At 55.0% G+C, this 27,489-nt stretch overlaps 1 protein-coding gene across 7 annotated transcripts, besides 5 other annotated features; it reads left to right on the top strand.

Annotated features, from left to right (window-relative positions):
* On the top strand, positions 1,827 to 27,147 carry PCDH1 (protocadherin 1). Of its 7 annotated transcripts, XM_005268454.6 has the most exons (6): positions 10,610 to 10,720; positions 10,806 to 11,668; positions 14,810 to 17,005; positions 22,766 to 22,985; positions 23,975 to 24,013; positions 25,801 to 27,147. In XM_005268454.6, the coding sequence occupies exons 1-5, from the start codon at positions 10,633 to 10,635 to the stop codon at positions 23,998 to 24,000; spliced, it is 3,393 nt and encodes a 1,130-aa protein (XP_005268511.2). In that variant the 5' UTR covers positions 10,610 to 10,632; the 3' UTR covers positions 24,001 to 24,013; positions 25,801 to 27,147. The 7 variants fall into 7 exon arrangements, with proteins under 7 accessions (NP_115796.2, NP_002578.2, XP_005268511.2 ...); NM_032420.5 differs by lacking the exons at positions 10,610 to 10,720; positions 23,975 to 24,013 and adding an exon at positions 1,827 to 2,014; XM_005268452.4 differs by lacking the exon at positions 23,975 to 24,013.
* Positions 1,829 to 2,578: an enhancer, noted in NCBI's record as "H3K27ac hESC enhancer chr5:141257224-141257973 (GRCh37/hg19 assembly coordinates)". NCBI's record gives its function as "activates a minimal SCP1, AML or CMV promoter by ChIP-STARR-seq in primed H9 embryonic stem cells {active_cell/tissue: H9 hESC(primed)}" and the evidence as "EXISTENCE:reporter gene assay evidence [ECO:0000049][PMID:30033119]".
* Positions 2,845 to 3,529: an enhancer, noted in NCBI's record as "H3K27ac hESC enhancer chr5:141256273-141256957 (GRCh37/hg19 assembly coordinates)". NCBI's record gives its function as "activates a minimal SCP1, AML or CMV promoter by ChIP-STARR-seq in primed H9 embryonic stem cells {active_cell/tissue: H9 hESC(primed)}" and the evidence as "EXISTENCE:reporter gene assay evidence [ECO:0000049][PMID:30033119]".
* Positions 6,632 to 7,354: an enhancer, noted in NCBI's record as "OCT4-NANOG-H3K27ac-H3K4me1 hESC enhancer chr5:141252448-141253170 (GRCh37/hg19 assembly coordinates)". NCBI's record gives its function as "activates a minimal SCP1, AML or CMV promoter by ChIP-STARR-seq in naive H9 embryonic stem cells {active_cell/tissue: H9 hESC(naive)}" and the evidence as "EXISTENCE:reporter gene assay evidence [ECO:0000049][PMID:30033119]".
* Positions 15,384 to 15,563: a silencer, noted in NCBI's record as "fragment chr5:141244239-141244418 (GRCh37/hg19 assembly coordinates)". NCBI's record gives its function as "represses an EF-1alpha promoter that drives an FKBP-Casp9 reporter gene in an ReSE screen in K562 erythroleukemia cells {active_cell/tissue: K562}" and the evidence as "EXISTENCE:reporter gene assay evidence [ECO:0000049][PMID:32094911]".
* Positions 16,015 to 16,515: an enhancer, noted in NCBI's record as "H3K4me1 hESC enhancer chr5:141243287-141243787 (GRCh37/hg19 assembly coordinates)". NCBI's record gives its function as "activates a minimal SCP1, AML or CMV promoter by ChIP-STARR-seq in naive H9 embryonic stem cells {active_cell/tissue: H9 hESC(naive)}" and the evidence as "EXISTENCE:reporter gene assay evidence [ECO:0000049][PMID:30033119]".
* Positions 27,148 to 27,489: the final 342 nt, after the last annotated feature.

The following is a 27,489-nucleotide window of genomic DNA, read 5'->3' as shown; positions in this document are numbered from 1 at the left end:
TACCACTTGGTGCAGAATTTGAGTTTGATGGTGGTGGAGCAGGGAGGATGGAGGCGAACATCTGGGAGATTAGCATTTCCTGCCCAGCTCTGCGGCTGCTGATCCTGCTCAGCCCTGAGCAAGGGAGGAGAACAGAGGAGCCTTTGAATGGCTCCCAGCAAGCAGACTGGGGAGGGTTTGCTGCATTGGGCAGCGGGCACACGCTGGGGGCAGGGAGACCGGGGCAGCTCTTCTGTGGAAGATTTCTTCTCTCTGGGCCACTGATTCCCTCCTCGGAGCTGTGCTCAATGATGTGGAGAGTATGAGCTTTCTAGAGACAGAAAGAAGCTACTTACAGAACAGACCCACCCCCCTCTTTCACCAGATTACCCCATCTCCCATCTAGAGCCCTGCCCCTGGGCTCCTGGGGCTGAGGGATAGAGCAGAGCCCAGGTCAGAAAAGGAGTCCAGTTAAGCAGGGCTGCTCTGGGAGAGATCTTGGACAGACTTTGCTTGCCCTCTTAGCTAACCAGAGATTCCACTTTTACCCTGAAGAGCATCCCACCGAGAGAGGCCAGAGCTGAGAAGAGAAGGAAGTAGAAGAAAGAGGAAAGGCACAGAAGAGTGGTAGGAACAGGAAAATGGGGAAGGACAGAGATGGGGAGTCAGAGGCTATGGCAAAAAGAGGCCCAACAACTGGTCATCCCATAACAAGAGCCTTTCCTCACCCAGCACTAGGCCTGGCTAGGGATAACCTTCCTCATTCTTTTGACCTAGAACACTCTGCCTGGGCCTGCAGGCGAAGAAGGCAGGAGGTCCTGTTGAACTGGGACACTTGGTAGCCTGGGTTACCAAACCGCAAGCGCAGGAGAGGGAGTTCCCAAGCTACTCAGAGACCTCTAGATGGCGCCAGAGAGCCAGAGCTGAATGGGAGAAACCGAGTATTGGAGTGTGTGAGACACTGCGTGTGACACCGTGTGTGATTTGGTGTGAGTGTGATAGGGAGCGTGTGGCACTGCGAGGGCGTGTGACACAGGCCGTGACACTGCGCGGCCTCGCGGGGCAGGGACCCGGTGACTGTATAATGTAAGTCACTGGCAAATACGTGTGGCCGCAGCACTACGCCGTGCAGAGGGCAGGTGATCAGGGGACCCTCGAATAGCCTAAGCTCAGGAGCAGCACTTCGTCTTCACGCTTGTGTATCTTCCCCATCCTCACTCTAGAGCCCCCGGGTCCCATTAGCCTCCTCCTCCCACGGTCCCCTCCATAGCCCCACCCCCACGGCTTGCTGCGGCCACCGAGGCTGACCGCTCTGCGGCTTCGGCCGGAGGGGGAGGGGTGGACTTTCCCCGAGCGCAGCGGGAAGGGAGGGCCACACAGGGCGATCGGGGATCTGGGCGGGAAGAGGGTGGATATGGAGGAGCAGGTGCCCAGGGAAGAAGGCGCTGTGGGAGACACTTCCCTTGCCTCGACTTCCCAGGGGGCAGACAGAGCTGGGGACAGGTGTTTGAGTAGGGTAAGGAGGGGAATCCAGGAGCGGTCCTAGATGGAGGCTTGGGTGGGATAAGTGTAAGGTGAAGCTCAGAGGAGGGCACGGCCTGTGTACTGGGCCTCGGGCAGTGAAGAGATGGCAGAGGGAGGGGTCCAGGCTTTGGGGAGCGGTGCTCGGGGTCCCCTCCCAGCCGGACCGGAGCGGTCCCGAGCTCCACCTCCCGGCCGGAGGGGGGGCGGGGAGGCGGGCGGGCCGGGAGGGAGGGGGGAGGGAGGGGGCGGGCCGGGCTGTGCGCTCCGCTCTCTGCTGGCTCCGCCGCCGCCGCCGCCGCCGCCGCCGCCGCCGCCGCCGCCTCACACACTCGGGGAGCGGGAGCGCGGCGCGGACGCAAAGCCGCCGGGCTGCTGCGCCCAGAGCCAGCCGGAGCCGGAGCCGGAGCCCGAACTGCAGCTCCAGCCCCAGCCGTGCGGAGCCGCAGCCCAGGCCGGGGCCGGCGGCGGCTCATGGACAGCGGGGCGGGCGGCCGGCGCTGCCCGGAGGCGGGTAAGGATCCGGCGGCGGTGGAGGCAGCAGCGGCTTGGGGCCCGAAGCGGTCATGGCCGGCGGGAGCTGAGGGAGGGGCGCTCGGCGGAGCGAGGCCGCGGGGGCCCAACACGAGCTCGGCGCGAGGGGGCTGAGGTGGGGGCTGCTGGGAGCCCATAGCAGGGGATGCGGCTGAGGGATTCCGTCCTCCCAGGTCCGCGGCGAGAAGCCGAGGGAGGGGAGGGGGTGCTGAGCAGAACCCTAGTCCCCGCGTCCCAAACCTGGGCGCGCTCGGAGAGACGGGGATAAGGAGACTCCAGGAGCGCGCGGCGTGGAGGATGGGTTTGGGGAAGCGCGCGGCCCCCAGTTTGGTGGGGGTCTCCCGGAGGACGGAGCAAGCAAGGACCGTTGTCCACAACACATACATACACACTTGTTGGGCAACTACCTCGGCTCACTCAGCCGCTTCCAGCTTCTCGCGGGCACCCAGAGGGCCAGACCGTGGACATATATACACACATACATACATCCCTGCATATGTGCACACAGACATACCTCCCGCACACCAGCGCCCACTGGGGCACCGTCGCCAGCTCAGAATCCGCTTCAGTGTCTGCACGATCAGCAGCACCGACACACAACCCGTGGCTTTACAGAGCAATAACACAACCGGGTGTGACACCCCGCGACGTGGACACACAAACACAATCTCGTGCCCTCATGTACGAGTGTCACAGCCACAGTTCACTAGATGAACCCTCAAAACCTAGCCACCCCCCACATTCCTTTAAGGAACACACCCTAGCATATATCATCTTACCCACTTCTTGGCCAGAACATAGGTACACAGCACAGGTCTCCTTGCACCCCTCTACTGCACCCACACAAACACACAACCCAGTATCTCAGCACACGCTTGATGGCACACACTCTAACACAGGAATTGGCACCTACAGCAGCGCCTCACGGTCACAAACACAGAATCCACTGCTTCACCCATCTTAACACTGGGTGTCACACACACCTTAAACCAACAGTGTCACATTACATTACACCCTGCAGCGCATACACACAAACACACACACTCCGTTCCTCTCTCTCGGAGTCCAGATTCAGGCAGGAGAAGCCGCCGGGGTCGTTCGGCGAGCCCCAAGCGCCCCGCCACGTTAATCGCGACATTATTATTGTAAATATCGGCACAGCGGGAAGGCTGGGCCGGCCTGCCGGCTTCCCAGTCGGCGCCTCCCCAACCCCCACTCCCGGGCCGAACCGGCTGGTGTTCCGGGAACAAGCTGGACCTGGCTGGCCAAGCCATCCCGCCTCCCCGGAGCTCTGGGGCCCCAGGTTCCTTTGTAGAGGGTGCTAGCCTGGGACGGTGATTGCGACCCTCTTCCAGCCATTTAGCTGAGTTTTCTGAGCCACCTGGGTCTCCAGCACACCTGGGTCCCACACACCTTGGTGGGTCCCGCACACCTGGGTTCGTCTCACACCTGAGCGCCCCCTCCGCCTGGTCCCCGCTGTAGGCCAGTGTGTGCGCGGGCAGGCCCTGGAGCCAGAACGGAGATCGCGGCAGGCATAGGAGCAGAATTTGTAGGCGAGGTGGTCTCGCACCCCTTCCCCCCAGCTACCCTCTGTAAGTCAGAATTCTGGCCTCAGTTTCCCCAACAGTGGTCGGCTACTATTTCTTCTGCCAGGAAAGACTGGGGGCGGCACTGAGGCCTTGGAGGATTGAGCGTAGGGCAAAAAACCCCCTCTGCTCGCCACGAGAGGGTCGGTTTTATGAGAATGTCCCCGCCTAGCCGGGTTCGCGGCTTTGTGATTCCGGCGCCGGCTCCCTCCCCGCCCCCTCCTGGCGCCCGCTGCGCCGCTCGCGCCGGCTCCGGCTTGCGGGGGACCCTAGGCCGAGGCCGGAGATGCCGGGGAGGAGGGATTCCCCGCGGTGGCCTGGGTGCGGGGGGCGCAAGGGCTCCCCCCACTAGCCGAAGCGCGTTCTCACCACGCCGCGCCCTAGCCTTGCCTTGGGTTCCTGGAGGCTGGGCGCTGCCGGGGTGGGGGTGGGGCCGCCAGAGCCCAAGAAACTGCCGCCGTCCCCCCCGCCACCCCCTAATCTCCGCAACACACACACACACTCGGCGTCCTCTGGGAGGAGTCGCTCCGCGCGCTGGGTGTGTGCTGGGAGCGCCCGCTGACCAAGGCGGTGCGGACTGGGGCTGCTTGGGTCGCTTCGTGCAGGAAGACGCCGCGAGGCTTCTAGCACCTGCTCTGGGTCAACCCTCGGGAGCTGCCAGGGAAGGGGCCGCCCAGAAAGTTTTTATGACAAGCCGGAGGTCTAGCTGTGTTTGTAGGGGGTGGGGGGCGCGGGAGTAGGTGGGTGTTACTTTATTGACGTTAAGGTCTGGGGGAATTGGAACCTGTAATTACAACTAGACTAGGGCATGGGGTGGAATCGAGGGGAGAGGCAGACTGGCCCCCAGAGGTAGCCAGAGGCAGTGTGATAGGGAGGCAAGTCTGGATTCAGTTCTGGCCGCATTTAGTTTTTACCCCTTCTCCTACCCACCTCCAATTCCCAATTCCAAAAGGGACTTCAGCTGGAAGTGGGTGTCTTGCTGGTCTGCCATCTTCTTAGCAGAGGGGCTGCTGCTGTGGCTACTTCTGCAGGGGAGCTGGGCAAGCGATAGTAAGCTAATTGCTGAGAAGGGGGTTGAAGGGCCAGGAGGGGGCCGCGAGGGTGGGGGAGGAGCTAAGTGGGAATCAGGGTTCGGGGAGGGGTGTAGGGAAAGAAGAAGGTGAGGGCTGCCCCTGCCGTGAGCAAGGATAGTTGGTGCAGAGATTCTGTTCAACAATGTATTGAGCACCTTTTATCTGCCAGGGTCCATGGTGGGTGGTGAGGATGCAGTAGTAAGAGACATACCATCATTGCCTTCATAGGACTTACCAACCAGCGAGGGGATTGGCTTGTTTATTCATCGAACCAAGGAGCACCCACTGTGTGCCCGATGCTGGAAATAAAATGGTCTATTCAGCAATTAGAAGACTTAGAAAAAAAAATGATTTGTCCTTTACATGTAATGTAAATAGACCTTAATGTAATAGACCTTATAGGCATGAGATCTCATTTAATTCTCCCAAATAATTTCAAGAGGCAGGTTTCATTATTTCCATTTCACAGTATGGAAACAGGTTCAGAAAAGTAAATTCACTTGGTTAATGTCACACAGCTAGGAAGTGGTGGAGCGAGGGTTCTAACCCCAACGATCTGACATGCAGGTGCCCAGAAGCCCTGCAGAGGCTAATAGAGGGTTGTGGGAGAGAGGGGAGAGGAGCTGAGGTCTGCACACTTGCTCTCTGTGGGAGGCTTCTGTTCAGCTCCACCCCACGCAACCCCATTTTCTTCCCCTCTCCCCGCGACAGTCCGTTTGTCCCTTGGTGTTTTGTGCCCGCGGCAGTGACCGTTGTGTAACAGTGCTGGGGTGAGGGTGGGGAGTCAGAGCTGACCTGGCTACTGGGACAGTGGTGGCTGCCTCTGTGTGTTTTTTCTCTGGCCACAGCACTCAGCAAAATGGACCTTGGTCCCCGGGGTGGGCTGGAAGTGAAGTTTCCGGGTGAACTCTCACCTCTGTTCTCATCCCTTCCCAGATGTTGACACAGACAGTATTTCCTTCAGCTTTTCTGGGACTCCGTCCCCTCCTTATCCCTTACTCCTACACCCCTGACGGCACTTCTGCTCCTCTATCTGAGGGACATGGGTCCCTGCGCCTGTTCCCCCTCAGGCTCTGGCTTCTCAGGGTCCTGGGTGCCCATGTCACTGGGGGGAGGTAGGGCACCGTTGCCCAGGAAGGCAGCCAGGGCCCGGGGAAGGGCAGATAAGGCGCTGCATGTATCAAAGGCTGCTGTGTGGGATTAATGACTCCCAGTGCCCAACTGCTGGGGACAAAGTTCAGAGATGGTGGGAACACGGGTGAGGGAAGGCCTCCTTATTGCTGCTCCTGCCCTTCCAGGCCACCCTGGCTCTCTTCCTGCATTTCTACGGGCCCCTGGGTGAACAGCAGCAGCCTAGGAAGCCTGGGCTGGTTCATTCCTTGACCCTTAGGCCCACTGTTTCTTATTCCCTCCTTACGGGGCAAGGTTGGCAGTCCAGGAATGGTGGGGAGGCGGGTGTGACATAACAGGAATCAGATTCTAGCCTCAGATATTTCTGTTTCTTTCCCCCAGACTCTGGGATGTGAAGAGGCATTCTTGTTTCTCAAGTCCTGGTTCTTCCACATACTACTTCTGTGACTTAAGACAGTTTATTCTTTCTCAGCCCCCATTTGATCATCTGTAGTATGGGAAGGAGTGTAATAATAAATACTACCCATTTGAGAGGGTTGGGAGGAAAGAGATCATGTGTGTAAAATGCTTAGTACTGATAAAATCTTAGTGTTTGCTGAGATGATGATGATGATGAGTGATTATGATGGCAAAGGTGATGATAAAAGTTTGCAGGGGCTGGGCGCAGTGGCTCACGCCTGTAATCCCAGCACTTTGGGAGGCTGACGCAGGAGGATCACGAGGTCAGGAGATCAAGACCATCCTGGCTAACACGGTGAAACCCCGTCTCTACTAAAAATACAAAAAAAAAAAAAAAAAATTAGCTGGGCATGGTGGCGGGCGCCTGTAGTCCCAGCTACTCGGGAGGCTGAGGCAGGAGAATGGCGTGAACCTGGCAGGCGGAGCTTGCAGTGAGCCGGGATCGCGCCCCTGCACTCCAGCCTGGGCAACAGAGCAAGACTCCGTCTCAAGAAAAAAAAAACGTTTGCAGGACCGGGCCAGGCGCGGTGGCTCACGCCTGTAATCCTAGCACTTTGGGAGGCCGAGGCGGGCAGATCATGAGGTCAGGAGATCGAGACCATTGTGGCCAACACGGTGAAACCCCGTCTCTACTAAAATACAAAAAAAAAAAAAAAAAAATTTAGCCGGGCGTGGTGGCACGTGCCTGTAGTCCCAGCTACTTGGGAGGCTGAGGCAGGGGAATTGCTTGAACCCGAAAGGTGGAGGTTGCAGTGAGGCCAGATCGCACCACTGCACTCCAGCCTGGCAACGGAGTGAGACTCTGTCTCAAAAAAAAAAAAGAGTTTGCAGGACCTCAGGCTCTTTCTTAACTCCCTGGAATTATCTCAAAGTTGTACCCAGATGGTCCGACCATTGCATCACAATTGCTTGGGGGTTTCTCTAGGTCCCACCTCCTGAATAAAGATTCCTAAGGGTGGGGCCAGATAATCCTCATTTTGAAGAAACTCTCCAGATGCTTGAAAGGCCTAAGCCCTCTTCAACTCCTTTCCCCACTGTGAGCAACTCTCCCCCAACCCTGTTTTCCCCACATTCCTCCTACTTTCTGGGACCTTTCCCCAGCCCCGCCATCCCATACCTTCCTTGAGCTGGATATTATCCTGTGGTTCTCCTTCTCTTTCCAATTCAGAGGTTAGATACCACAGTCCTTAATTGGTTCTTTTGCTGGTTGAAGGTAAGACAACTCCTCAGGGTGAGAAAGAGCGTGTGGGGAGCGGAGGTAGTCTCACAAGCATGTGTGCCTGTTCTGCCTAGGAGGTTTGAAAGGTTATAGGGCCTCAGGTTGTGACTGTGAGATGGAGGAAGCCTGAGGCAGGGGCTTAATTCGTAGCTCTTGGAGTGGCCACACATCATTCGCCCTGACTGCCAGATCATGGCCCCCTGAATTAGCGGCTAAAATTTGTGAACAGTCATTTTTCCTGGAAAAATCTGTACCATGGTTTTATAAAATTCTTGAAGGAGGATGTGACCACAGAAGATTAACTATCTTAAGTATCCTCGATCTGGAGAGAACAGAGGCAAACAGTGACTGCCTTATTTATTCTCTTGGTCAGGTTTAGGGTAATTCCCGTGGGCTTCCCACATAACGCCTCACCTGCCAAGACTTTTGTAGAGAATTAGGGTGCACAGTGATACCACATTGTATATGCAGAGGAGGGTGGCAGCAGGATACAGTCCCATAAGAAAATGAGGTTCTCTGGTGATGGTCCTTTGACGATGTGTTTGGGTTGGGGTTGAAGTAGTCAGATGAGCCTTGTGCCAGGTCCATGCAGGTGGAGGGGGGGGGTGGGGGGTGGATCCAAATGGAGTACAGATAAATTCCTGCTTCCTTTAAAGAGATTAACATTCACACCAATCTGATAACGCCGCACACACTTTAGGGAGGGGCCTGTGCTTGGGGAAGGCCATACAGAGGAGGGGATGTGTTTGATTTATCTAAAGACTCTGTGCATTCAGTGAACATTTGCTGAGAGTCTACTATGTGCCCTAAACAGAGAAGACTTACATTTTACCCCAGGAAGTTCTTAGTGGTGTAGGGGAATCGGGTAAGTGAGCAAGTAAAAGAGCAGTGGTCACACAGCAAGTACCAGGAAAGGCTAAGCCTAGAGAGCAAAATAACAACAGTCATTCAAGAGCTGCCAAGTGCCCACTGTGTGCCAGGTCCAGGGCTAAGCCCTGAGGAGGTAGGAGCAAACAAAGTAGAAACTCTCCTGCTTTCTGCTCACCATCTTGGAGCAAAGACAGACAATTAACACATTTTCCAAACAGGTACACAACTACAATTGTGCTAAATGCTTTGAAGGAGTCCTTTGTTGAGTACCCACATTTAGCCCACAGTATCTCAAACACCCTAGGAAATAGGTAGTATTATCCCCATTTTACAGGTAAGGAAACTGAGGCACTAAATCTTTGCTTCAGGTCATGCAGCCAGGAAGTGAGCAGCTGGGTTTGCCTCAGACTGTCTAATGCCACAACCCTCGCTCTTCTCCACCCTGCTGCCTTACATTCGCCAAATGGTATACAGAAGCAACCAAACAAAATGGACAAATAGTCATTGAGTTAGAAGCACTGTCATGGCAGATTGGACCAGTCTTGTTTACTTCTGCATCCCAGTGCCCAGGACAGAGCCTGGCATATTGTAAATGCCCAATAAACATTTGTTGAATGCATGACTGAGTCCCTACAGTGTACCCAGATGTGCAAAGGTGCATTGTTAGGGGGCAGGGGATGAGTGAGTGTACAGAGTACTGTCCCTTCCTTCGTAGTGCTTTGTGTTTGCCTGGAAAGGCAGAGAACTCAGGAATAGGTGCACAATACTGAAGCTGAACAACACAGGCGGGCGGTGTCCCAGTCAGCCCCATGATTCATTGCCTTGGGATTGGAGCAGACAATAAGTGGCTGTGAGTTGGAGGAAGGAGAGGTCACCGTGGGCAGGAGAGGACTGTGAAGGTTTCCTGGAGGGCCAGAGCCTGCCCTCAGTGGGATTGATGTGGGGTGGGTGTTCCAGGTGTGGGGAAGGTATTCCAGGTAAAAGTGAGGAAGTGGGGAAAGGAGACTGAACCAGAAGCCTCCAAAGAAACTGCTGATCCAAAGATTTTGGATTTGAATAAAGGAGGGACTGGCCATGATTTTGTTGGAGAGGAGGGGGCATTCAAGACAGAGACAGTAGCTGGGTCTAGCTGGGATCTGCAAATGCACGACCTCAAAGCCAGGGGAGATGGGCAGAAGAAGGGGGTTATTGTTGTGATGGGGTACAGCTTGTGGTTGACTAGGGCAGAGGTTGGGAGAGGCAAGTGTGAAGTAGGGGCTGGATATACGGAGATGGATGTCAAATAAGAGCCAGATGTTCATCCAGAGACCAGAGGGTGTGGGGTGGGGGAGTGGCCAGGGAAAGGCTGCTGGTGTCATTATCATCGGCAGCTCTGTCCCAGTTAGACCTGCTGGGCTCCCTGTTGCTAAGGACAGGCCAGGGCAGCTCCCAATGCCAATTCCAGGGCTAGTCAGCCCTGACCACAGTTCTGACCCCAATCTTGACCTGTGTTCCCTTGTACGCACCTGCCCATGGCAGCAGGAGGGAGAGGAGAGGAGCCCTAGCAACTGTGCATGTTCCTGTGTGCATGCTCTGGGGCATGTGTGCATGCTCTGGGGCATGTGTGCACGCTCTGTGGCCTGTGTGCACGTTCTGGGGCATATGTGTTGGGGGAAAGTCGGGAAGGCTAACACCTACTCCTCAACCCTAACCATTTTCACAAGCCTTGCCCAATTCAAGCTGGCCTTTTATGGGGGTGGAGAATACTGGGCACCGTGGGTGATTGTCAGAAAAAGAGGATTTGAGATGTCATACCTCATGCATATGCACTGACTTGGCATCTCAGAACAAAGAGAAATGAGACATCATCCCCTCTCCCTCCAGCCAACCTTAATGGAGCCCAGTGTGACAAGTCAAGGTCCCAGGGTCTGGGGTGTGTAAGGACGTACTTGTGTCTCTTTCCTACCATGCATGTGGGGAGGGGTGCTCCAGTTGGGGATGCTCGAGGTCTCACCCTTCCACTGGCTCTCTCTCCCTATCTCAGTATCAAGGTAATTACCATCGGTGACTAAGGCAGGATGCTCGTGAGAAGGAGGTGTTGGGTGAAGCACAGAGCAGAGAGCAAGGAGGAAAAGAAGGAAAGAGGGCGGGCAGCCGGGCTTGGGCCCAGGGAGCGTCAGGTGGGTGAGGGTGTTCCATGGGCGGGAGCTGCTCTAGGCATGCCAGGCCTCTTACTGGCTCCTCCAGCTGGGGCAGACACTGCTGCTACACCCAGCTGTGGATGAGATTCAGGGATCTGAGTTTCTGGAATCGGGGTTCTGTGCTGGGACTGACTGCTCTTGTGGAGAATCGTGTGTCAGTGGGAGAGGGTGAGTATGGGGCCAGCTCTGGGCAGCTCAGGGCCAGGCTTTTCTTCCCAGCTCATGGCCTCTGTTTTGCCTCTTCCCCTTGCAGCCCTCCTGATTCTGGGGCCTCCCAGGATGGAGCACCTGAGGCACAGCCCAGGCCCTGGGGGGCAACGGCTACTGCTGCCCTCCATGCTGCTAGCACTGCTGCTCCTGCTGGCTCCATCCCCAGGCCACGCCACTCGGGTAGTGTACAAGGTGCCGGAGGAACAGCCACCCAACACCCTCATTGGGAGCCTCGCAGCCGACTATGGTTTTCCAGATGTGGGGCACCTGTACAAGCTAGAGGTGGGTGCCCCGTACCTTCGCGTGGATGGCAAGACAGGTGACATTTTCACCACCGAGACCTCCATCGACCGTGAGGGGCTCCGTGAATGCCAGAACCAGCTCCCTGGTGATCCCTGCATCCTGGAGTTTGAGGTATCTATCACAGACCTCGTGCAGAATGGCAGCCCCCGGCTGCTAGAGGGCCAGATAGAAGTACAAGACATCAATGACAACACACCCAACTTCGCCTCACCAGTCATCACTCTGGCCATCCCTGAGAACACCAACATCGGCTCACTCTTCCCCATCCCGCTGGCTTCAGACCGTGATGCTGGTCCCAACGGTGTGGCATCCTATGAGCTGCAGGCTGGGCCTGAGGCCCAGGAGCTATTTGGGCTGCAGGTGGCAGAGGACCAGGAGGAGAAGCAACCACAGCTCATTGTGATGGGCAACCTGGACCGTGAGCGCTGGGACTCCTATGACCTCACCATCAAGGTGCAGGATGGCGGCAGCCCCCCACGCGCCAGCAGTGCCCTGCTGCGTGTCACCGTGCTTGACACCAATGACAACGCCCCCAAGTTTGAGCGGCCCTCCTATGAGGCCGAACTATCTGAGAATAGCCCCATAGGCCACTCGGTCATCCAGGTGAGAGGCCCCCTCCGTATAACTGTCAGGGTGACCCACCACTAGAAATGGGAGCCCACCCAACCAGGTGAGAGTTCCCTTCACTTAGGGGAAAAACTGCCAGAATACTGTAGTGAGACCCCTTCTCCCCAAACTCAGCCAGGGGAGTCTTTCCCACCCCACCCCAGCAGGTGATATTACTTTCCTCTATCAGGCTACTTAGGTGACAGTGAAATAGCATATGAACAGTTTCCCGTGACCCCTAAGGCAGACTCAAGCTGGGGGAACCTCTGAGAAGTAAAACTCCCGCCCTAGTCAAGTAGATCCTTCTCTGCTAGCCAGGTGAGCTGAGTTGGAACAAAGGAATCACCGTTTATCCAGGTAGAATCTCTCCTGAGATGAGAGTATCTTCCCAACCAGGGATAGTTTCTCTTTAGCCAGATGAGGTTTTCCTGAAGCTGGAGGATATAGCCTCATTTTGCCTCTTCCTGACAAAGTCAGATGAGATCATTTTAGCCAGGTGGGACCCTCAGAGTTCTGAAAAAACATACTAGGGTGTCTGTATACATGCCTCCTCCCCTAGGCATGGGGTGCCCATAGATGTGGGGTGCTTGGTACAGTGGGGTTCAGTGGGGGGTCAATTTCCTCTGTTGAAGTTCTCAGCACCCCTCTCCATGGGAACTGCCCCAGGCGCTAGGCAGCTTGGTGGGGCTGGGGACTGGGAGGGAGCAAAGAAAGCGTCTCTGCAGACAGGTGGGTGTATCTCCCGCTGTCATCTCAGCTCTGGCCTCCTGCCAGCCCCAGCTCCTTTCCCCTTCCCCATGGGCTGAAGATGCCTCTCTCTTTGATGTGAGGGAGCTGAGGAGGCTCGGCCTGCCCTGGACACCATTACCCATCCTGGAAAACCCTTAGTCCTGGGTCCTCAAGCCAAAGTGGGAGATGGGTGGGAGTTTCAGCCTTTTTTTTTTTTTTTAGAGCCTGGTGGACTGGGACCTGGAAAAGAGACTGAGAAAGAAAAGGGAGACAGACAGTCGGGGATAGCAAATAATAATAGCCTAGGTGCCAGGCACCGTTCTAAACACATGATGTGTATTATATCATTTAATCCTTACAGTACAAGGTAAGTATTATCCCCATTTTGCAGATGAGAAACCGGGCCCAAACAGATTAGAAAACTCGCCTGATATCCTACAGCTAATGAGTTCAGAGTCCACCTTTGCCGCAGCCAAGAGTCTGGCTTCAGAGCCTAGGTGTGTAAGAGCTTTACCACCTCCCAGTGAGGTGAAGCGGGAGAGTAGGGCAGAGAGTAAGCAGAGAGGTCAGCAGGGCTGAAAAGAGAGGATGGAAGAAAACAGGCTGTGGGAAAGGGGAAGAATCAGAACTGAGCAAGGATAGAAAGGAGACAGAAGCCAAGAGTCACAGAGACAAAGAGAGGTAAGACAAGAGACAGATAAGCTGGAAGACCAATCTAGAGCCAAGGGAGACTGGGGATCCTCATCATAAAGTTGATGACAGGTAGACTGGGGTGAGGGGAGGAGAAACTGTTAGGGTTTGGCACTCAGAGATGTGAGCAGAGACCAGGGTACCTGGGGAACCATTGCCCAGGAGTCTTCACTGTAGGAAAAGCCCAGGCGGGGATAGCTGGAGTTCCCATTCCCAAGGAGGAGAGGACTGGCAGTGGCTTGAGGGCTCACTAGGTGCAGTGCCCACTACTGCATTAGCACTGATTTTTCAGAGGCAGGCGGGTAGGAGGGTAGATGGTTGGACAGACAAAAAGAAATACATGCTCTTTAGGGAGCACTTTCCCTGTGCCGGGCAATGTCAGGCATTTTTACCTGTATTATCCCATTTGATGCTCACCACAGTTCTGTGAAATAGGTTACATTATTATCCCCATTTCACACATTCATAGACTGAGGCTTAGGGAGGTTAAATAATTGGCCCAAGGTCACATAGTTACTTGGGAAGTGGTATAACTGGGATTTGAACCCAGGACTCTTCTGTTTTGTTACCCCAGAGACTCTGCCAAGTTATGCTTATTCTCCCCTCACTCCCCACAGCAGTCACATTCTGTCTGGCTGTGACCTAACTCCAGCCCTCATGTTTCTCCCTGCCCAGTAGTACCCCATGGCCATTCCCACCTGGGTCCTCTTCCCCATTACCAACCATGTTTGTATAGAGTTGAGTCGAGTGCGCGTTGGAGTTGGCGTGGGAGGGTGTGCCCGCTGACTGCAGAGGGACAGACAGTTCATTGTTTGATGCTGGGAGCCCAGCCCACTGCCAGCAGGCTCTGTGGCCTGCATCAACCCCTCCCTCCTGGCTGCAGGCTCAGGCCGGATTCCTCGCATTGGTGCCTCGCCAGCCGGTGCCAGTCGGGAGGAGAAGTTGCTGCTGAAACAGGTTTCCCCGGTTTGACAGAGCGGTGGCTGGGGCCCGGCCTGGAGGGCTTCTCTGACCCACAACCCTACCTGACTTCTTTCAAAAGAAATCCCCCAACCTGGGGCCTTCAGATGGGCATGTGAGTCTTTACTCATGTGTGCAAACACACATATGCACAAACACATATACCTTCTCACACAAAAATCACACATAATCACACATTCTGACACAATCATACACATACAAACACATATACCTTCTCACACAAACATATCACATTTAATCACACATTCTGACACAATCATACACATACATATGTGCATGCGTGCGTGCATGTAGTGCACATTCACACGGGCACACACACCGCCTCTACTACTCGCACCTCTCCATCTCTTCAGGAGGGTTCAGGCAGGGTTCATTGGTGAAATGGCTTCCCTAGTTCTATTGGATCCTCATCCTCTCCTGGTATTTTTGTGGACCCATACAGCAATGACAAGTGAGGTTTAATTCTGCCCTGTCCCATCTCCAATAGTTGCCTGTAGCACTGTTGAGGATTTGCAGGCTGCATCTGGGCTCTTCAGGAAAATAGGTTAGTAATGCCTGCCAGAATGTCCGAATTGGGAAAAGGCAGGACACACATGGCTTCTGGAAAGGGAGCGATGTTGGATTGGCTGTGTCTGCCATGCTTGTTGGAAAGGACATTGGCAGCATGTGTGCCCCTTTATTTGCTATCCCTGATCTAAACCATCTCTGTTCTCCTTGTTTTTCTCTCCTGCCCTATAGGTGAAGGCCAATGACTCAGACCAAGGTGCCAATGCAGAAATCGAATACACATTCCACCAGGCGCCCGAAGTTGTGAGGCGTCTTCTTCGACTGGACAGGAACACTGGACTTATCACTGTTCAGGGCCCGGTGGACCGTGAGGACCTAAGCACCCTGCGCTTCTCAGTGCTTGCTAAGGACCGAGGCACCAACCCCAAGAGTGCCCGTGCCCAGGTGGTTGTGACCGTGAAGGACATGAATGACAATGCCCCCACCATTGAGATCCGGGGCATAGGGCTAGTGACTCATCAAGATGGGATGGCTAACATCTCAGAGGATGTGGCAGAGGAGACAGCTGTGGCCCTGGTGCAGGTGTCTGACCGAGATGAGGGAGAGAATGCAGCTGTCACCTGTGTGGTGGCAGGTGATGTGCCCTTCCAGCTGCGCCAGGCCAGTGAGACAGGCAGTGACAGCAAGAAGAAGTATTTCCTGCAGACTACCACCCCGCTAGACTACGAGAAGGTCAAAGACTACACCATTGAGATTGTGGCTGTGGACTCTGGCAACCCCCCACTCTCCAGCACTAACTCCCTCAAGGTGCAGGTGGTGGACGTCAATGACAACGCACCTGTCTTCACTCAGAGTGTCACTGAGGTCGCCTTCCCGGAAAACAACAAGCCTGGTGAAGTGATTGCTGAGATCACTGCCAGTGATGCTGACTCTGGCTCTAATGCTGAGCTGGTTTACTCTCTGGAGCCTGAGCCGGCTGCTAAGGGCCTCTTCACCATCTCACCCGAGACTGGAGAGATCCAGGTGAAGACATCTCTGGATCGGGAACAGCGGGAGAGCTATGAGTTGAAGGTGGTGGCAGCTGACCGGGGCAGTCCTAGCCTCCAGGGCACAGCCACTGTCCTTGTCAATGTGCTGGACTGCAATGACAATGACCCCAAATTTATGCTGAGTGGCTACAACTTCTCAGTGATGGAGAACATGCCAGCACTGAGTCCAGTGGGCATGGTGACTGTCATTGATGGAGACAAGGGGGAGAATGCCCAGGTGCAGCTCTCAGTGGAGCAGGACAACGGTGACTTTGTTATCCAGAATGGCACAGGCACCATCCTATCCAGCCTGAGCTTTGATCGAGAGCAACAAAGCACCTACACCTTCCAGCTGAAGGCAGTGGATGGTGGCGTCCCACCTCGCTCAGCTTACGTTGGTGTCACCATCAATGTGCTGGACGAGAATGACAACGCACCCTATATCACTGCCCCTTCTAACACCTCTCACAAGCTGCTGACCCCCCAGACACGTCTTGGTGAGACGGTCAGCCAGGTGGCAGCCGAGGACTTTGACTCTGGTGTCAATGCTGAGCTGATCTACAGCATTGCAGGTGGCAACCCTTATGGACTCTTCCAGATTGGGTCACATTCAGGTGCCATCACCCTGGAGAAGGAGATTGAGCGGCGCCACCATGGGCTACACCGCCTGGTGGTGAAGGTCAGTGACCGCGGCAAGCCCCCACGCTATGGCACAGCCTTGGTCCATCTTTATGTCAATGAGACTCTGGCCAACCGCACGCTGCTGGAGACCCTCCTGGGCCACAGCCTGGACACGCCGCTGGATATTGACATTGCTGGGGATCCAGAATATGAGCGCTCCAAGCAGCGTGGCAACATTCTCTTTGGTGTGGTGGCTGGTGTGGTGGCCGTGGCCTTGCTCATCGCCCTGGCGGTTCTTGTGCGCTACTGCAGACAGCGGGAGGCCAAAAGTGGTTACCAGGCTGGTAAGAAGGAGACCAAGGACCTGTATGCCCCCAAGCCCAGTGGCAAGGCCTCCAAGGGAAACAAAAGCAAAGGCAAGAAGAGCAAGTCCCCAAAGCCCGTGAAGCCAGTGGAGGACGAGGATGAGGCCGGGCTGCAGAAGTCCCTCAAGTTCAACCTGATGAGCGATGCCCCTGGGGACAGTCCCCGCATCCACCTGCCCCTCAACTACCCACCAGGCAGCCCTGACCTGGGCCGCCACTATCGCTCTAACTCCCCACTGCCTTCCATCCAGCTGCAGCCCCAGTCACCCTCAGCCTCCAAGAAGCACCAGGTGGTACAGGACCTGCCACCTGCAAACACATTCGTGGGCACCGGGGACACCACGTCCACGGGCTCTGAGCAGTACTCCGACTACAGCTACCGCACCAACCCCCCCAAATACCCCAGCAAGCAGGTAGGCCAGCCCTTTCAGCTCAGCACACCCCAGCCCCTACCCCACCCCTACCACGGAGCCATCTGGACCGAGGTGTGGGAGTGATGGAGCAGGTTTACTGTGCCTGCCCGTGTTGGGGGCCAGCCTGAGCCAGCAGTGGGAGGTGGGGCCTTAGTGCCTCACCGGGCACACGGATTAGGCTGAGTGAAGATTAAGGGAGGGTGTGCTCTGTGGTCTCCTCCCTGCCCTCTCCCCACTGGGGAGAGACCTGTGATTTGCCAAGTCCCTGGACCCTGGACCAGCTACTGGGCCTTATGGGTTGGGGGTGGTAGGCAGGTGAGCGTAAGTGGGGAGGGAAATGGGTAAGAAGTCTACTCCAAACCTAGGTCTCTATGTCAGACCAGACCTAGGTGCTTCTCTAGGAGGGAAACAGGGAGACCTGGGGTCCTGTGGATAACTGAGTGGGGAGTCTGCCAGGGGAGGGCACCTTCCCATTGTGCCTTCTGTGTGTATTGTGCATTAACCTCTTCCTCACCACTAGGCTTCTGGGGCTGGGTCCCACATGCCCTTGACCCTGACAATAAAGTTCTCTATTTTTGGAGTTTTGGTTTCTTATTTTCTGGAACTGAGAGAAGCAGCGAGAGAGACTGGAAGCAGCCCTTTGTCCTCAGGTCCTACCTCAATTTCCCCTTCCCTTCTCTTTGCCTCTTGCCACATCCTAGACCTGCCCATTGTACCCCACACTATCTTAGCCTACCATCTTGCCATCCACCCCCATGTCCCTATCCACGTCTGGGAAAGTGGCCTTCTGACCAGCCTTCAAATGGAGGTGTCTGGCAATGTGTCCCCTTGCCCCATGTCTATAGGGCTTTCTTCCTAAGAATGACCCAGAAAGGGCAGGTGGAGCTATACCCAAGTCCTGCCCCATCTGAGGCTTGATTTTTCCAATCTGCTCAAACAGTTGCCTCTGACAGACCTCAGACTGGAGCACCTGGTAGGGAGTAGCATTCAGCCTTCCTTCCTGCCTTAGGTGAAGGCAGAGAACCTCTTGATTACACCAGCCACCTTCCCCCAGGGCAAGTCCTTCCCTCAAGTCCCTTCCCCAGCCTCTTCATCCCAACAACAGGCAACACCCAGCAATTCGCTGGCCCTCCCCTGTGTCTCCCCACCATGATCACCAGCCTGAGCTGCAGGGAGCGGGGCCCTGGGGGAGACATGGCGAATTCCTAAGTTCTTTGCATTGACCTGCCCTGCACCCCCACTCTTAGGGGGTTCCCTGCTCATGAGCAGAGGCTTCCTAGTTCTGCCTTCCGCCTGTGATGCTACCTCCCTCCCCACTTTCCACTCCTTGCTCTGGCCACCCTGGGTTGCTTGCTTGCACTCTCTCTCTCTCCATCTCTCACTTCTTGCTCTCCTGGGTCTGCCCTGTCTCTGGTTGTGCCTGAGTTGGAGGAAGGCTAAATCGTGGCTGAGGGGCCTCAGGCCCTGGGGGAGTCTCTGAGGCCAGAGGCAACCTATCTCCATGGTGACTAAAGAGGCTTGAGACACTCCCAAGAGGACCAAGGCTCCAGCTCTCTCCTCTGATTCCATCCACAAATTCCCCCAATGCCCTGGGGGGCCCCCAAAGTAAAAACTCCTTGGGTCCTTGGAGGAGTGGGGCCTGGGGAAGTGAGATCTAACCATATCGTGATCTCCAGCAACTCCTGACCTCCCATTCTTTCTCTTCCTTTTCTGTCCTTTCTGGCATTCCTTCCGTCTTTCTCCTATTCCTTTAGCGTCTTCATCTCTTTTTCTTTCCCATGATCTGAGGGATTGTCTCTTACTCAGCTCTAATCCAACCTAACCCATCCATGGAGCCACACTGAATGTCTTCTCCCAACATTCAGATACAACCAAACCACACCACCTGTTGTCATCATCAACACACACAGGCCAAGTTTCCACTGAGTACTCAGCATGGTACTAGACCCTGATGAAAAAATGGCCATACTTGTACAAGACAGACAAGTGAACGATGAGGCAATTGAGTGTCTTGAGTCGAATGAGAAGTGCCCTACTAAAGCTTTTCCCAACTTATTCCATGAAACTACTTCTACTGCTACTGCTCACTTCCTTTTTTTTTTTTTTTTTTTTTTTTGAGATGGAGTTTTGCTCTTGTTGCCCAGGCTGGAGTGCAATGGCACGATCTCAGCTCACTGCAACCTCTGCCTCCCAGGTTCAAGCAATTCTCCTGCCTCAGCCTCCTGAGTAGCTGGGATTACAGGCATGTGCCACCACACCCAGCTAATTTTGTATTTTTAGTAGAGACAGGGTTTCTCCATGTTGGTCAGGCTGGTCTTGAGCTCCTGACCTCAGGCGATCTGCCCGCCGTGGCCTCCCAAAGTGCTGGGATTACAGGCATGAGCCACCATGCCCGGCACTCACTTCCATTTTTTGAGTCCTTACTAGGTGTGAGGTACCATGCTAAGCACTTTGTGTGAATTAGTTCAATCAGTGCTCATAACTCTTTATGATATGGGTCATTTTAATATTAATTTTGCAGAAGTGAAAACTAAATAGTGATGCAGCCAAATTCAAACACAAAGCAGGCGGGTCTCCTATTACCTATTATGCTATAAAAAAGGCGTTCTGTGGTGAAGTTAGTTTTGGTAGTAAGAAATTCATGATCACATTAGCCTATTAAAGGCTCTGCAGAGTCCTCCAAAAAAGGGGGAACCTGTTAGACTTCGTTTAACCTTTTTTTTTTTTTTTTTTGAGACAGGGTCTTGCTCTGTCACCCAGGCTGGAGTGCAGGGGCGCAATCTTGGCTCATTGCAACCTCTGCCACCTGGGCTCAAGCGATCCTCCTGTGTAGCTGGGACTACAGTCGTGCACCACCACACCTGGCTAATTTTTGTAATTTCTGTAGAGACAGGGTTTTGCCATGTTGCCCAGGCTGGTCTCAACTCCTGGGCTCAAGCGATCTGCCCACCTCAGCCTCCCAAAGTGCTTGGATGACAGGTGTGAGCTGCCGTGCCTGGCCCCAATTTTGTTTACCTCTTGAGTTTTCTGAATTTATTTCACCATATTGCCCCTCCCTTCCTTTGACGAGCACAGTATGGGAAAACTTGTACAAGACATGGAAATGGGCTTCTGGAAGGAGAAAGTCAGCTTGTCAATGATGAGCAGGATTAGGGCAGGAGGGTCCCCTGCCTCCTCACAGGGTCACCGTGTAAGCAAACTCCTGCGGCAGAAGTGAACCAAGTTGGAGGCAGGGAAAGGGCAGAAAAAGGAATATTCTGGCAAGAAGAGGGGCATAAGAGAAAGCTGAAAGATGAGACTGGAAGAACTGTAGGTTGTAGAGGACATAGGTGCCTTACCAAAAGTTCTTCAGAAGGAACTAGTCCCTGAAAGCTCATGAGTGTTTTAGATGAACTGAGTTTTAGAAAGAGCACTGGAATATATGGTGGGCTTAAAAGGGCATAGAGATGAAGGTACAGGACTGAACCTCTAAGAGTTGGACTATGATGGTGGCAATGGGGGTGATGGATGGATGGATTTGGCAAAGGTTAGGGAGAAAGGACCCACAGGATTCAAGGGATAATTGGATATGAGGTAGGGATAGGGAATGAGGGGAGAGCTACCAGGATTCTCAGGTAGACATCAGCCTTCTGAGTCTGGGTGATAGGATAGTGATGAGATCATTGCCCATACAGAAGCTAATTGAAGAAGCATTTGGTTTCAGACATGTTGAATCTTAAGGGCCAGTAGGCAGAGCCAACTGGAAATAATCAGCAAGTGTCTAGAGCTTCAGGACTCAAAGAGTTTGAGAGAGATTTTTTGATCTGGGCTTTTATAATTTGATAGTCATAAAATTAGAGGGAACATTAAGTGTTGGGTATAACCCAACCCTCCATTTTATGGAAAAGAATCATGGGAAAAGAGACCAAGCGACTTGCTTAGTAGGCAGGACCAAAGCCTTCAATTACCAGATATGGGTTCTGCAGGGAGGTGGGACTGCTGGCCAGTATCTTGAAAGAAAACTGGAAAGAGAAGCACCAACAACCATGTTGCCCTGTGCCTCCCAGACCCCTCCTGGACCCTAATCACCCCTACACCAGGTGGACTACACTCCTTTATAGCCTCCCGGCCCCAAACATCCATGTTAGTTTTGGGGACCTTATCAGTCATCACCCAGACCCTTCAGTGTTTTAGATCAATACAAGGATTCCAAGAACGGTCGCTTATTCCTGAAGATGAGGTGGGAGCCATCTTCAGGAATGGGGATAGTGGGGAGGCAGTTCTGGGCTACCTTCACAGCAGCTCCAAAACTCCTGTCCTGACAGCCTCTTCCACCCTAGCTGCCTTGAATGGGGCTATTAGGAGGGTAAGTCTACAAAGCCAGGGCCACCTCCCCTGGCCATCTTCATAACCTCCTATCCAGAGTTATAGAGTAAGACAAAGCACTGCCAAAGTCTTGGAGGATGGGAAGGAGCTTAGAGACTCATCAGCAGGGCCCTGGGCTTAGCTGTTTTCACCCCTGGCCTCCAGGGACCCTGAGTCTGCACCCTCCACAACTCCTAATTTCTGGTTGGCAGGAAAATCTGTGGCAGTCCCAAGTGGGTATTTGGGTGGCTGGCTGGTTGTGCCAAGTGCCAAGTTGAGATTGCCAGGTTCCAGGGCTGATCGTTAACCTGTGGCAGGCATACAGGGCTGCTGGCTGGGAGCAGCCTGTCACGGTTCCACTCCCCCGACCCCCAGTCCCCAGTCCAAGCCTCCAAGTCTGGCTCCTCATGCCAGCAGCCCTCCCAGAAGCTCCTTCCTATTTCCTGGAAGGAGTCTCCCTTTGAGACCAGCTTTCCTAATCCCTAATGGGTGCCATGCCCTCTCCCCATGTCCAGGCTCCTGGCAGAGCCCTACCCTCTCCAGTGAATATTCTATTTCCTGATCGGGAGGACTGGGGAGTTTCCATTGTTCTGCTTTGTCCCCTTCCCCCAGGTGCCCTGGTTTGTTATCAGGCTCCTCCCTTTTTTTCCACTCCCAGGCCTCTCTGGAGGGGAGTGAAGTGGGGATGGGGGGCTGAGTGGGAGGGGCGACAGCAGGGAGTCTTCAGACTGCTGCAACATCACAAACCAGGGATGAGGAACACAGGATAAGAAAAGAAAGGTTGTTCCCTCATTTGGAAGGAGGCAGTGGCAAGAGCAGTGAGACAGGTGAGGAGCTGGAGTTTGGAGGGTGCTGTTTGGAAATGAGGGAACTAACTGTTGTGGTATTGGTGAGCTGTTTGGGAGTTAGGAGTCTGCTTCTTTTAGGAAGCTGTTCTAGAAACTGCAGGCTATGCTGGTGTTTAGAGGCTGAGCTGGAATTAGGGGAGTCGGGTGGTATTATGTTACTCTGGTATTGGGCTCTACACCGTATTACAGGTCATTCTGGGATTAAAGGGAGGCTGTGCCAATATTGGGAAGCTGGGTTAGAACTAGAAGGGTTGTGCTATAACAAGCGGTTGCACTGGATGAGGGTTATTGGGGTAGCATAGGGGCTATAATAACACTGGGGCCTGCGCTGTATTGGGACTTCCAGTATGTGGACTTGGCTGTACTAGGAGCGGTCCTAGAACTCAGGAGCTGTCTTTCACTGGGGCCTGTGCTTTCGGGAGGAATGTGCTGTGCTGGGGCCTGGGTCTCTTCTTGGTTGCTGTTGAAGCCTGAGTAGGATGGTGCTTGGCTTGTACTAGGGCCTGGTATGGTGGTGGGCCCTGTGGGCAAGCTGGCTGGTCAGTAGTGACAATCTGTCTCCCTGCAGTTACCTCACCGCCGCGTCACCTTCTCGGCCACCAGCCAGGCCCAGGAGCTGCAGGACCCATCCCAGCACAGTTACTATGACAGTGGCCTGGAGGAGTCTGAGACGCCGTCCAGCAAGTCATCCTCAGGGCCTCGACTCGGTCCCCTGGCCCTGCCTGAGGATCACTATGAGCGCACCACCCCTGATGGCAGCATAGGAGAGATGGAGCACCCCGAGAATGGTGAGGCGCAGCACCATGGTCAGGGCACCCCAGGAATGAGTGGAAGCCTGGGAATGGTGACAAGGCCTTAAACAAATCATCTATGTATTGAGTTATTATGTGCTCAGTCATCATCACCGTGCTGAGGGCTTTCAGGTATACACGCATTTAATCCCCAGAACCACTCTGTGATTTGAGAACTTTATGGCACCCACTTTACAGTGGAGGAAACTGAGGCTTAGAGAGGTTAAGTCACTTGCCCAAAGTCATACATCTAGAACGTGACAGACCTGGGAGGGATTCAAACCCAGGTTTCTCTGACTCCAAAGCTGTTGCATTCGGCACCATGTTTACACGGCCACCTGGGAACAGGGACCCTGAGTGTGGTGGCCAGAAAGCTCACGTAATGGTGAGGAAACCTTGAGAAGGTGGGTGGTGGTCCTCTAAGGTTGGGAAGGCCTTGAGAATAGAGATTGGGCCCTGGATGCTACAGGGGGCTCAGAGAATGGAGTGACGATATGCTGGGGTGAGGAGTGGGAGAAGGTTTGGCACCTCTTTGAGGAAGAGCGCGGTAGGAGGTCTGGTGAAGAGAAAGGCCTGTCTGGGAGGGATTTGGAGGGTGATGGCAAAAAGGAGGTGTGAGCCAGCGCAGAGGTCGGCATGGGAATGGATGGTGAGGTGTGCCGTCAGTGTGTGTGCAGTGCGTGTGCATGTGTGAAGTCGTCCATGGCAGCCTGTGGAGGGGGAGAGTGAACGAGCTAACCCCTGAGATGGAAAGACTCTCTAAGTTGGAGTTGTCCTCGGGTCCCACCCACTCCCTCAACTCAAAGCCTCCTCGCTCCACAAAAGATGGGAGGTTTCACTCCCCTGCCTCAGGCACAGGGCCCTTGTCTAACCTCCCGGGCCCTTGTCTAACCTCCCAGGCCCTAGGTCTCAGAGTGCCCTCCACCCCCACCCCGCCCCTCCATGCGCGATCTCATGCCCGTCTCATCCTTTTTGTGCCCGCGCAGAGCCGGCTGGCCGGAGCAGGCCCTGAGGCAGAGTGCCAGGTATGTGGGAACTGCTCTGGGGTCTGGGGTCTGTGGGACTCTGCCCAGCACCCAGCCTCACCCACCCAGTGCCCATGCTCTGCTCTGAGCCATGTTGCGTCCCCCAACTCTGCTCTGAGCTGTAGAGCCTTGGCACTTTGAGGGTTAACAACAGAGCTGTCCCCTCCTCACCTGGCACTGGCAGGAGGCCAAGCCATAGTGGGTGGTGCCAGGGGAGCCCCTGTCCCAGGCAGTGTTGCTTAGCCATGTCCCTTGGGGGTGGGGGGGGGTCACTGCCTGGTGCTGTCCCTGAGCAAGGGCAGGACAGGGACAGCTGTGACAGGAAGTACTCATGGCCCAGCCGTTCCCATGGAGACCCCCGCTGCCCAGCAACTACACCGGCTACTGCTGATGTCAGGCAGCCAACTCCTGTTCCCGTGGGTGTTCTGGGCAGGGAGCTGGGGCAAGGCCAGGGGTGGTGGCTGGTTTAGGGGCCAGAGTGAGGTGGGGAGGGGCTGCATGAGCGTGCTTGTGGATGTGAGTGTGTGCCTCTATGTGAATACCCCACACAGAAGCTCGTCCCTTCCCCCTGGCTTTAAAGCAAGGTCTTGCAGGAGGAGGGTGGGTTCAGGACCACCGGGAGCATGTGAAGCTTGAGGGGGTTCTGAAGGAAGCAATGTACCCAATTTCATCTGAGGATAGAGGTGCCCACTGTAGTAGATTTGTGTATCCATGCCTATCTGTGTGTGTGAGAGGGAGAGAGAGAGAGAGTTGATTGTGTCAATCAATTCAATGAGGATGGAGGTTTCCTCAACCCCACCTGAGGATAGATTTGCACATTTAAGTCTGTCTGGAGATAGATGAGGCAGTGTGTAGATGAGTGTGTGTTTGTGCACCTGTCTGAGGGCAGATTTGGTGGGTGTGTAAGAAGAGCACTGGGGGGTAGGTGACGCTGGAAGGAATGTGTCTATTTAGGGCTTGGTGGCTCATGCCTGTAATTCCAACACTCTGGGAGGCTGAGGCAGGCGGATTGCTTGAACTCAGGAGTTCAAGACCAGCCTGGGCAACATGGCTTAAACCCCATCTCTACAAAAAAATATAAAAAATTAGCCAGGCATGGTAGTGCATGCCTATAGTCACAGATATTTGGGAGTCTGAGGTGGGAGGATTGCCTGAGCCTGGGAAATTGAGGCTGCAGTGAGCCAAGATCACACCACTGCACTCCAGCCTGGGTGACAGGAGTGAGACCCTGTCTTGAAAAAAAAAAGGATAAGGCTGGGTGCGGTGGCTCATGCTTGTAATCCCAACACTTTGGGAGGTCAAGGTGGGTGGATCACCTGAGGTCAGGAGTTCAAGACCAGCCTGGTCAACCTGGTGAAACCCCATCTCTACTAAAAATCCAAAAATTAACCAGATATGGTGGTGGGCGCCTGTAATCCCAGCTACTCGGGAGGCTGAGGCAAAAGAATTGCTTGAACCCGGGAGGTGGAGGTTGCAGTAAGCCGAGATTGCGCCATTGCACTCCAGCCTGGGTGACAAGAGCAAGACTCCATCTCAAAACAAAGAAAAAGAAAAAGAAAAAAGATAGATTATGTGTGTGTGCGTGTGCGTGTGTACAGTAGGCCAGTAGGTCGATGGTGGGAGGGCATGTGTCTCTTTGAGGGTGTGTGTGCCTGTGAGTTCAGCGGTCAGGAAGGGGCGCATACTCCTGTCCTGAGGTGGGGTGTAGATGCCAGTGGGAGGCCATGAAGCAGAGCTTTGCAGAGGCTGTATGTCTGACAATTGTCCTTCCCCGCTCCCTCCTACAGACCTTCGCCCTTTGCCTGATGTCGCCATGACAGGCACATGTACCCGGGAGTGCAGTGAGTTTGGCCACTCTGACACATGCTGGATGCCTGGCCAGTCATCTCCCAGCCGCCGGACCAAGAGCAGCGCCCTCAAACTCTCCACCTTCGTGCCTTACCAGGACCGAGGAGGGCAGGAGCCTGCGGGCGCCGGCAGCCCCAGCCCCCCGGAAGACCGGAACACCAAAACGGCCCCCGTGCGCCTCCTGCCCTCCTACAGTGCCTTCTCCCACAGTAGCCATGATTCCTGCAAGGACTCGGCCACCTTGGAGGAAATCCCCCTGACCCAGACCTCGGACTTCCCACCCGCAGCCACACCGGCATCTGCCCAGACGGCCAAGCGCGAGATCTACCTGTGAGCCCCCTACTGGCCGGCCGGCCCCCCTCCCCCAGCCGCCGGCCAGCTCCCAAATGGCCCATTCCAGGGCCTCACTCTCCACCCCTTCAGCGTGGACTTCCTGGCCAGGGCCCCAAGTGGGGGTATCACTGACCTCATGACCACGCTGGCCCTTCTCCCATGCAGGGTCCAGGTCCTCTCCCCTCATTTCCATCTCCCAGCCCCCAGGGGCCCCTTCCCCTTTATGGGGCTTCCCCCATCTGATGCCCAAGAGGGCTCCTCTGCAATGACTGGGCTCCTTCCCTTGACTTCCAGGGAGCACCCCCTCGATTTGGGCAGATGGTGGAGTCAAGGGTGGGCAGCGTACTTCTAACTCATTGTTTCCCTCATGGCCGACCAGGGCGGGGATAGCATGCCCAATTTTAGCCCTGAAGCAGGGCTGAACTGGGGAGCCCCTTTCCCTGGGAGCTCCCAGAGGAAACTCTTGACCACCAGTGGCTCCCTGAAGGGCTTTTGTTACCAAAGGTGGGGTAGGGACGGGGGTGGGAGTGGAGCGGAGGCCTTGTTTTCCCGTGCTGCTCCTGGACTGGCCCACCTGCCTGCCACATGCCCACGCCTAGTCCCATCTGGGCCCCCATTCCCTGCTGGTCATGCAGTGTCTGTATATAAGGACCTTGGAATGACGTCCCCATTTCTGCCTGATTTGCAACTTTTCTTGTTGATGTCGTGTTGTCTTGGGGGACCCCTCTGGGGGGGGACCTGCCCTGTGCCCCCTCCTCCCTGCCGCAGTGCCCCCCAACCCAGGCCTCTATTGTTCCATGTTGTAAATACCCCTGGGGCCATGGTGGGATGGGGGTGCAGGCCAGGGAAACAACGGGTGGGTGGGGGTGGGGACGGGGGTAACATTTGCCTATCAGCAGAGCTGGGCTTTTATTTAATTTTTCTTAAAAATACAAATCTCTATTTTTTTGGAACTGTTGCGCTGTGCCCTGGGGGGATCCCCGCTCAGGCTGGCCTCCCACATCCAGATGAGCATCACAGAGGGGCCCTGAGGCTGTGGGGGGCAGCTGGACAGGGGTGGGATGACTGTGCCTCTGGCCTGGTTGGGTGAGTTGGGAGCAGGAAGGTTTGCTCAGGGGGTGGCTGGGTGCTGCTCCCGATATAGGGGGCCTGCATCCTGCCCCCTCCCTGCCCTCTCAACCCCCAGCCCCTGCCATGACTGACCCGTCAGCCTGTAAAACCACCATTGCCTTGATCTCAGGGGGTGGGAGGGCTGCCTCAGGGCACCCTGGGCTCCAGGCCCCCTTCTTCCAGTT

This window comes from Homo sapiens, chromosome 5 (assembly GCF_000001405.40).
Source record: "Homo sapiens chromosome 5, GRCh38.p14 Primary Assembly".
Taxonomy (NCBI): Eukaryota; Metazoa; Chordata; class Mammalia; order Primates; family Hominidae; genus Homo; species Homo sapiens.
Note: the sequence above shows the minus strand (reverse complement) of the source record. Positions and strands in the feature narration are given on the sequence as shown.

What these genes read in the sequence shown, in the direction of transcription:
- PCDH1 (XM_005268452.4), top strand. Translation starts at nt 10,633, where the DNA reads ATGAGATTCAGGGATCTGAGTTTCTGGAATCGGGGTTCTGTGCTGGGA. An exon ending in TAGGCCACTCGGTCATCCAG is followed by an intron (nt 11,669 to 14,809) that starts GTGAGAGGCCCC and finishes CCTGCCCTATAG; the next exon opens with GTGAAGGCCAATGACTCAGA. An exon ending in CCAAATACCCCAGCAAGCAG is followed by an intron (nt 17,006 to 22,765) that starts GTAGGCCAGCCC and finishes GTCTCCCTGCAG; the next exon opens with TTACCTCACCGCCGCGTCAC.